The 9,899-nt window shown below is 40.5% G+C and overlaps 1 annotated feature.

Annotated features, from left to right (window-relative positions):
• Positions 7,043-7,629: an enhancer, noted in NCBI's record as "H3K27ac-H3K4me1 hESC enhancer chr3:158708772-158709358 (GRCh37/hg19 assembly coordinates)". NCBI's record gives its function as "activates a minimal SCP1, AML or CMV promoter by ChIP-STARR-seq in primed H9 embryonic stem cells {active_cell/tissue: H9 hESC(primed)}" and the evidence as "EXISTENCE:reporter gene assay evidence [ECO:0000049][PMID:30033119]".

A 9,899-nucleotide genomic window follows, 5' to 3' on the forward strand; every position in this document is an offset into this window, starting at 1 on the left:
CATTCCCTTTTTGTGGGTGCTTATTCATTAGTGGGTTACAGTCCTGCCATTATTCACCTTCTGCGGATACCTGTCCACATTGACAAAAGGTAAAAGGGTCCACTGTAAAAGTGACTAGGGAAATAATTAAGGAAGAGGTACAGAATTGGTAATTTTATCTCCGAAATGCTAATGTATGTAAACAGAACTCTCCAAGCAGGCATAAAGATGTAAGAAGCCCAATAGAATTCTTGTAGGAACTGGTTGACTAATTTTGAGTCTTCTCTTTAAGTTGTAGAAAGAAACTGCAGATACACTATTTTAGTACAGATTTAGTACAGATACACTATTTAGTGCAGATACACTATTTAGTATTTAGTTTGGCCTGTATCTGGGCACTCAATTCCTGCCATTGACAATATAGAGCTCAGTAACCAGGGGAAAGAGGAGTGTTCTGACCTACAAACACACCTCTTTTCTTTTCTGAAAATCAGAAGTAGTGGGACAGGCAGGACATTTCACTTGAAGAAAGTTATATATGAATGTGTTTTGGGGGTGTAGAGGTGAGGGATGGGGGAAGATAAATTAGGCTAGGTACTCTATGTTGATACTGGGATGGTGAATTCACTAAGCATCTTCAAGAACCAACTGTATAAGGAGTGTTTATTAATTAGTAATACTAGAGAATGACCAAAGATCCATGAAAACATGGATCCTTTGCTCTTGAGATTCTTACTAACTAGAGGCTGGAGGTTCTGAGGAGTTCCAGAGGACACACACACACACACACACACACACACACACACACGTGAAATGACCTACCAGTGTGTGTGTCTGGTGAAGGTTGCAGCACTACTCACACTCATCTGAATTTCTTCATACTCATTGTCCCTTCCTTATTCTTTGACACCAGAGTTTTGAAGCCCTGGTGTCTTATTGGTCTAAGCTGGTGCCGAAGGGAGGGAGATCCCAGATTCCAGAGGAGCTAACATTAGTACCAGATATTCTAAAACAGTGGTTCTCAAACATTTTATTCACAAGACCCATTTACACTCTTATTGAGGACTTCAAAGAGCTTTTGTTTATGAATGTTGTCTTTACTGATATTTACCATGTTTAAAAATTAAAATATTCATTTAAGAATAATATCAGTAAACTCACTACTTATTAACACAAATAACACAGTCTTAATGAAAATATTACGTTTTTCAAAACAAAAAAATTGGAAGAGTGGCGTTGTTTTACTTTTTTTTTGCAAATCTCTTTAATGTCTGGCTTGATAGACAGCTGGATTCTCAGATTAGTTTCTGCATTCAGTTTGTTGTGATCTCAGATATCACACTGACTCTGGAAAGCTCCACTGTATACTTGTAAAAAAAAAAGTGACTACAAAAAGCAAATCACGTCTCAGTATTAGTATGAAAATACTTGTGACCTTACAGCTTCCTGTGATGAAGACTTGAATCATATTACTTCACCTAATTTCTAACGAAGAAAGAAAGAGTGCTGTGATCTGATAGTTTGGGGAAACTGGCAGGCAGAGTCACAGATTGGAAGCCATAGTCTAGAATTAGAGCCTTGGTTCTGCCAATTACATACTAGCTGTGTGACCTTGGCAAGTTAGTTAACCTCCTTATGCCTCAGTTTTTCCATCTTTATTTTATTTTAATTTAATTTAATTTAATTTTTTATTATACTTTAAGTTCTGGGGTACATGTGCAGAACGTGCAGTTTTGTTACATAGGTATACACGTGCCATGGTGGTTTGCTGCACCCATCAACCCGTCACCTACATTGGTTATTTCTCCTAATGCTATCCCTCCCCCAGCCCCCAACCCCCCAACAGGCCCTGGTGTGTGATGTTCCCCTCCCTGTGCCCATGTGTTCTCATTGTTCAACTCCCCCTTATGAGTGAGAACGTGCAGGTTTGGTTTTCTGTTCTTGTGTTAGTTTGCTGAGAATGATGGTTTCCAGCTTCATCCATGTTCCTGCAAAAGACATGAACTCATCCTTTTTAATGGCTGCATAGTCTTCCATGGTGTATATGTGCCACATTTTCTTTATCCAGTCTATCAATGATGGACATATGGGTTGGTTCCAAGTCTTTGCTATTGTGAATAGTGCTGCAATTACATACGCGTGCATGTGTCTTCATAGTAGAATGATTTACAATCCTTTGGGTATATACCCAGTAATGGGATTGCTGGGTCAAATATTATTTCTAGTTCTGGATCCTTGAGGAATCGCCACACTGTCTTCCACAATGGTTGAACTAATTTACACTCCCACCAACAGTGTAAAAGTGTTCCTATTTCTCCACATCCTCTCCAGCACCTGTTGTTTCCTGACTTTTTAATGATTGTCATTCTAACTGGAGTGAGATGGTATCTCATTGTGGTTTTGATTTGCATTTCTCTAATGACCAGTGATGGTGAGCATTTTTTCATGTGTCTGTTGGCTGCATAAATGTCTTCTTTTGAGAAGTGTCTGTTCATATCCTTCACCCACTTTTTGATAGGGTTGTTTGTTTCTATCTTGTAAATTTTGTTTAAGTTCTTTGTAGATTCTGCATATTAGCCCTTTGTCAGAAGAATAGATTGCAAAAATTTTCTCCCATTCTGTAGGTTGCCTGTTAATGCTCATGATATTTTGCTGTGCAGAAGCTCTTTAGTTTAATTAGATCCCACTTGTCAATTTTGGCTTTTGTTGCCATGCTTTTGGTGTTTTAGATATGAAGTCTTTGCCCATGCCTATGTCCTGAATGGTGTTGCCTAGGTTTTCTTCTAGGGTTTTTATGGTTTTAGGTCTTATGTTTAAGTCTTTAATCCACCTTGAGTTGATTTTTGTATAAGGTGTAATGAAGGGGTCCAGTTTCAGTTTTCTGCATATGGCTAGCCAGTTTTCCCAACACCATTTATTAAATAGGGAATCCTTTCCCCATTGCTTGTTTTTGTCAGGTTTGTCAAAGTTCAGATGGTTGTAGATGTGTGGTGTTATTTCTGAGGCCTCTGTTCTTTTCCATTGGTCTAGATATTTGTTTTGGTACCAGTACCATACTGTTTTGGTTACTGTAGCCTTGTAGTATAGTTTGAAGTCAGGTAGCATGATGCCTCCAGCTTTGTTCTTTTTGCTTAGAATGCTTTTGGCTATGCAGGCTCTTTTTTGGTTCCATATGAACTTTCAAGTAGTTTTTTTCAATTCTGTGAAGAACATCAATGGTAGCTTGATGGGGATAGCATTGAATCTATAAATTACCTTGGGCAGTATGGCCATTTTCACGATATTGATTCACTCCATGAGCATGGGATGTTTTTCCCTTTGTTTGTATTCTCTCTTATTTCCTTGAGCAGTGGTTTAAAGTTCTCCTTGAAGAGGTCCTTCACATCCCTTTTAAGTTGTATTTCTAGGTATTTTATTCTCTTAATAGCAATTGTGAATGGGAGTTCACTCATGATTTGGCTCTCTGTTTGTCTGTTATTGGTGTACAGGAATGCTTGTGATTTTTGCACATTGATTTTGTGTCCTGAGACTTTGCTGAAGTTGCTTCTCAGCTTAAGGAGACTTTGGGCTGAGATGATAGGGTTTTCTAAATATGCAATCATACCATCTGCAAACAAAGGGAATTTGACTTCCTCTCTTCCTATTTGAATACCCTTTATTTCTTCCTCTTGCCTGACTGCCCTGGCCAGAACTTCCAATACTATGTTGAATAGGAGTGGTGAGAGAGGGCATCCTTGTCTTGTGCCAGGTTTCAAAAGGAATGCTTCCAGGTTTTGCCCATTCAGTATGATATTGGCTGTGGGTTTATCATAAATAGCTCTTATTATTTTGAGATACATTCCATTAATACCTAGTTTATTGAGAGTTTTTAGCATGAAGGGGTGTTGAATTTTGTCAAAGGCCTTTTTGGCATCTGTTGAAATAATCTTGTGGTTTTTGTCATTGGTTCTGTTTATGTGATAGATTACGTCTATTAATTTGTGTATGTTGAACCAGCCTTGCTTCCCAGGGATGAAGCCCACTTGATCACGTGGATAAGCTTTTTGATGTGCTGCTGGATTCAGTTTGCCAGTATTTTATTGAGGATTTTTGCATCGATGTTCACCAGAAATATTGGCCTGAAATGTTCTTTTTTTGTTGTGTCTCTGCCAGGTTTTGGTATCAGGATGCTGCTGACCTCATAAAATGAGTTAGGGAGGAGTCCCTCTTTTTCTGTTGTTTGGAATAGTTTCAGAAGAAATGGTACCAGCTCCTATTTGTACCTCTGGTAGAATTTGGCTGTGAATCCGTCTGGTCCTGGACTTTTTTTGGTTGGTAGGCTATTAATTACTGCCTCAATTTCAGAACTTGTTATTGGTCTATTCAGGGATTCAGCTTCTTCCTAGTTTAGACTTGGGAGGGTGTATATGTCCAGGAATTCATCTATTTTTATAGATTTTCTAGTTTATTTGCATAAAAGTGTTTATAGTATTCTGATGGTAGTTTGTATTTCTCTGGGATCAGTGATGATAGCCCCTTTATCATTTTTTATTGCCTCTATTTGATTCTTCTCTCTTTTCTTCTTTATTAGTCTGGCTAGCAGTCTATCTATGTTGTTGATCTTTTCAAAAAACCAGCTCCTGGATTCATTGACTTTCTGAAGGGTTTTTTGTGTCTCTATCTCCTTCAGTTCTGTTCTGATCTTAATTATTTCTTGTCTTCTGTTAGCTTTTGAATTTGTTTGCTGTTGCTTCTCTAGTTCCTTTAATTCTGGTGTTAAGGTGTCAATTTTAGATCTTTCCTGCTTTCTCTTATGGGCATTTAGTGCTATAAATTTCCCTTTAAATACTGCTTTAAATGTGTCCCAGAGATTGTGGTACATTGTGTCTTTGTTCTCATTGGTTTCAAAGAACATCTTTATTTCTGCCTTAATTTCGTTATTTACCCAGAAGTCATTCAGGAGCAAGTTGTTCAGTTTCCATGTAGTTGTGCGGTTTTGAGTAAGCTTCTTAATCCTGGGTTCTAATTTGATTGAACTGTGGTCTGAGAGACTGTTTGTTATGATTTCCGTTCTTTTGCATTTGCTGAGAAGCGTTTTACTTCCAATTATGTGTCAATTTTAGAATTAGTGCGATGAGGTTCTGAGAAGTAAGTATATTCTGTTGATTTGGGATTGAGAGTTCTGTAGATGTCTACTAGGTCTGCTTGGTCCAGAACGAAATTCAAGTCCTGAATATCCTTGTTAATTTTCTGTCTCGTTGATCTGTCCAATATTGACAGTGGGTTGTTAAAATCTCCCACTATTATTGTGTGGGAGTCTACATCTCTTTGTAGGTCTCTAAGAACTTGGTTTATGAATCTGGGTGCTCCTGTATTGGGTGCATATATATTTAGGATAGTTAGCTCTTCTTGTTGAATTGATCCCTTTACCATTATTTAATGGCCTTCTTTGTCACTTTTGATCTTTGTTGGTTTAAAGTCTGTTTTATCAGAGATTAGGATTGCAACTCCTGCTTTTCTTTGCTTTCCGTTTTCTTGGTAAATATTCCTCCATCCCTTTATTTTGAGCCTATGTGTGTCTTTGCACACAAGATGGGTCTCCTGAATACAGCACACTGATGGGTCTTGACTCTATCCAATTTGCCAGTCTGTGTCTTTTAACTGGGGCACTTAGCCCTTTTTCATTTAAGATTAATGTTGTTATATGTGAATGTGACCCTGTCATTATGATGCTAGCTGGTTATTTTGCTCTTTAGTTGATGCAGTTTCTTCATAGTGTTGATGGTCTTTACAATTTGGTATGTTTTTGCAGTGACTGGTACTGTTTGTTCCTTTCCATGTTTAGTGTTTCCTTCAGGAGCTCTTGTAAGGCAGGCCTGGTGGTTACAAAAATCTCTTAGCATTTGCTTGTCTGTAAAGGATTTTATTTCTCCTTAGCTTATGAAGCTTAGTTTGGCTGGATATGAAATTCTGGGTTGAAAATTCTTTTCTTTAAGAATGTTGAATATTGGCCCCCACTCTCTTCTGGCTTGTTAGGGTTTCTGCAGAGAGATCCGCTGTTAGTCTGATGGGCTTCCCTTTGTGGGTAACCCGACCTTTCTCTCTGGCTGCCCTTAACATTTTTTCCTTCATTTCAACCTTGGTGAATCTGACAATTATGTGTCTTGGGGTTACTCTTCTTGAGGAGTACCTTTGTGGTGGTTTCTGTATTTCCTGAATTTGAATGTTGGCCTCCCTTGCTAGATTGGGGAAGTTCTCCTGGATAATATCCTACAGAGTGTTTTCCAGCTTGGTTCCATTCTCCCGTCACTTTCAGGTACATCAATCAAATGTAGATTTAGTCTTTTCACATAGTCCCATATTTCTTAGAGTCTTCGTTTGTTCCTTTTTATTCTTTTTTCTCTAATCTTGTCTTCTCACTTTTTTCATTAAGTTGATCTTCAATCTCTGATATCCTTTCTTCCACTTGATTAATTCAGCTGTTGACACTTGTGTATTCTTCATGAAGTTCTTGTGCTGTGTTTTTAAGCTCCAGCCGGTCATTTATGTTCTTCTGTAAACTGGTTATTCTAGTTAGCAATTCGTCTAACCTTTTTTCGAGGTTCTTAGCTTCCTTGCATTGGGTTAGAACATGCTTCTTTAGCTAGGAGGAGTTTGTTATTACCCACCTTCTGAAGCCTACTTCTGTCAATTTGTCAAACTCATTCTCCATGCAGTTTTGTTCCGTTGCTGATGAGGAGTTGTGATCCTTTGGAGGAGAAGAGGTGTTCTGGTTTTTGGAATTTTCAGCCTTTTTGTGCTGGTTTCTCCACATCTTTGTGGATTTATCTACCATTGGTCTTTGATGTTGGTGACCTTCGGATGGGGTCTTTGAGTCGACATGCTATCCCTTTCTGTTTGTTAGTTTTCCTTCTAACAGTCAGGCCCCTCTGCTGCAGGTCTGCTAGAGTTTGCTGGAGGTCCTCTCCAGACCCTGTTTGCCTGGGTATCACCAGTGGAGGCTGCAGAACAGCAAAGATTGCTGCCTGTTCTTTCCTCTGGAAGCTTTGTCCCAGAGGGGCACCTGCCAGATGCAAGCCAGAGCTCTTCTGTATGATGTGTCTGTCAGCCCCTACTGGGAGGTGTCTCCCACTCAGGATACACAGGCATCAGGGACCCACTTGAGGAGGCAGTCTGACCCTTAGCAGAGCTTGAATGCTGTGCTGGGAAGTCCGCTGCTCTCTTCAGAGCCATCAGGCAGGGATGTTTAAGTCTGCTGAAGCTGTGCCTACAGCTCTCCCTTCCCCCAGGTGTTCTGTCCCAGGGAGTTGGGGTTTTTTATCTATAAGTCCCTGACTGGGGCTGCAGCCTTTTTTTTCAGAGATGCCCCGCCCAGAGAGGAGGAATCTGGCAGTCTGCCTTGGTGAGCTGCAGTGGGCCCCACCCAGTTCGAACTTCCAGGTGGCTTTGTTTACATTGTAAGGGTAAAACCACCTACTCAAGCCTCAGCAATGGCGGATGCCCCTCCCCCCACCGCGCTTGAGCATCCCAGGTCAATCTCAGGCTGCTGCTGTGCTGGTAGTGAGAATTTCAAGCCAGTGGCCCTTAGTTTGCTAGGCTCCTTGGTGGTGGGACCCACCAAGCCAGGCCATTTGGCTCCCTGACTTCAGCACCCCTTTCCAGGGGAGTGAACAGTCTGTCTCGCTGGCCTTCCAGGTAACACTGGGGTATGGAAAACAAACAAACAAACAAAACTGCAACTAGTTTGGTGTGTGCCCAGATGGCCACCCAGTTTTGTGCTTGAAACCCTGGGCCCTGGTGGAGTAGGCACCAGAGGGGGTCTCCTGGTCTGTGGGTTGTGAAGACTGTGGGACAAGTGCAGTATATGGGCTGGAGTGCACGTTTCCTCAGGCTCATTCCCTCACGGCTTCCCTTGGGTAGGGGAGAAAATTCCCCAACCCCTTGTGCTTCCCGGGTGAGGCGATGCCCCACCCTGCTTCAGCTTGCCCTCTGTGGGCTGCACCCACTGTCCAACCAGTCCCAAAGAGATGAACTGGGTACCTCAGTTGGAAATGCAGAAATCACCTGCCTTCTAAGTCAGTCTTGCTGGGAACTGCAGACTGGAGCTGTTCCTATTTGGCCATCTTGCCAGCAAAAAGACAGAGTTTTTCCATCTTTAAAATGGAGCTTGTGATAGTACTCATCTCTGATGGCTGTTAATGAGGCTTAGTGAGATACTGTAGGCAAAGTTTTTGTTTAGCTAATAGTAAGTGCACAATAGTGGCTTTTGTTTCCTTGGTTATTATTACTGTTAAGGCACCCATCCATTATGAACCTCAGTTTCCTCATTTGGCAAATGAGGCTGGTATGAATGGTTCCAAGTTCTAACATAATATGACTTTGCTTCAAAGCCTTCCTTTCCCATATTAGAGGTGGAGAGTATGGGAGAGGTGTATATGATTCTAATGGTGAGAAAAGCATTTATTTTTGGTTACATTTAGTAATAACTCCATTCTCCCCCTCCCCCCACTATCCCCTTATAACTCTATTTAAAACTTTCTAGGGCTTTAAGAATAAAACTTGGTTTAAAAAATTGTTGTTTCCTTGGAAAAAAAATTAAGTTTAGCCTTTTCAATTGGAACCAATATGTGTATTAGAGCAAATAAAAGTTTAAAAATTTGTTTCCAGGTCTCATGGTGGTTTCAGGTCAAAGTCATAATAGGGTTTATCTCATGTCTAAACTTAATTGAAGGGTAAATGAAACTGTGTTAAAAGATTTTGCTGACTCCTCAGTTTAAAGAACACACAGAGTAGGTAATAACCTTTTAATGGAACAGGAAAATAAGGAGCCTGGATTCATGGGACAGGGGTAGAGGAGAAAAAACAGGGGCTAAAAAGCATCTTGAAAACACAAGTGTTGGACCTGCAGTTTGATTGAAGACCCAGATCAAAATAAATCAATACAAATGCTTTGGTTTATTTTTTCCTCCATTTTCACTTAAGTACTAGCCTCTAATACAATGAAAAGCAGGCACAAAGCATATTAGAAAGGAAATAAGACAAATGGTCTCGGAAGTAATAGGAAGGACTGCATGTGTTGCATGCCACTTATTTTAAATTTACCAGAGCCTTGCTATAGAGCCATGTGGGAAGGCATGAAGATTTGCATATAGAGACTTCACTGGAGGGGATTCTTTTTATTTTTTGTTTTGGAGATGGAATCTCACTCTGTCGCCCAGGCTGGAGTGCAGTGGCACGATCTTGGCTAACTGCAACCTCCACATCCCGGGTTCAAGTGATTCTCCTCCCTCAGCCTCCCAAGTGGCTGGGATTACAGGCGATCACCACCACGCCTGGCTAATTTTTGTATTTTTAGTAGAGACATGGTTTCACCATGTCGGCCAGGCTGGTCTTGAACTCCTGATGTCAGGTGACCCACCTGCCTTGGCCTCCCAAAGTGCTGGGATTACAGGTGTGAGCCACTGCACCCGGCCTCACTGGAGGGGATTCTTAGAGGAAATATTGAGAATACCATGGCTAAGCACGATTCTTTGCCATGGGTTCTCAAGGACAGTATGATAACAAGACTTGACTTTGGTGTGAAAATGTGCTAGAATTCAAGTCACAGAGAGTTGTGTTGATAGCAAGAGATTATATACCAGTGGCAAACATAATGGAATAAAATTAAAATTTTACAGTGAGAGATAACTGTCAGATTAGTAGTAATATAGCTTATAGATAGAATGGTTTACATGAAATAAAATTATATTGGTAGTTTTGATGCTACTGACACTAGTAGAGTTATGCTTAATGTTGACTTTTCCATCAAAAGCCATTAGATAAAATAATGGAAAGCATGGGGTATTGTGGGCAGAGGTGAGCTCAGATTGAACCAGTAAACTGCTTCTGACAAAGAGGGATGTGTTTGTGCTCAAAGGAAAAGGGTAACGGCTGTAATAAGA

Source organism: Homo sapiens, chromosome 3 (assembly GCF_000001405.40).
Source record: "Homo sapiens chromosome 3, GRCh38.p14 Primary Assembly".
In the NCBI taxonomy this organism is placed as follows: Eukaryota; Metazoa; Chordata; class Mammalia; order Primates; family Hominidae; genus Homo; species Homo sapiens.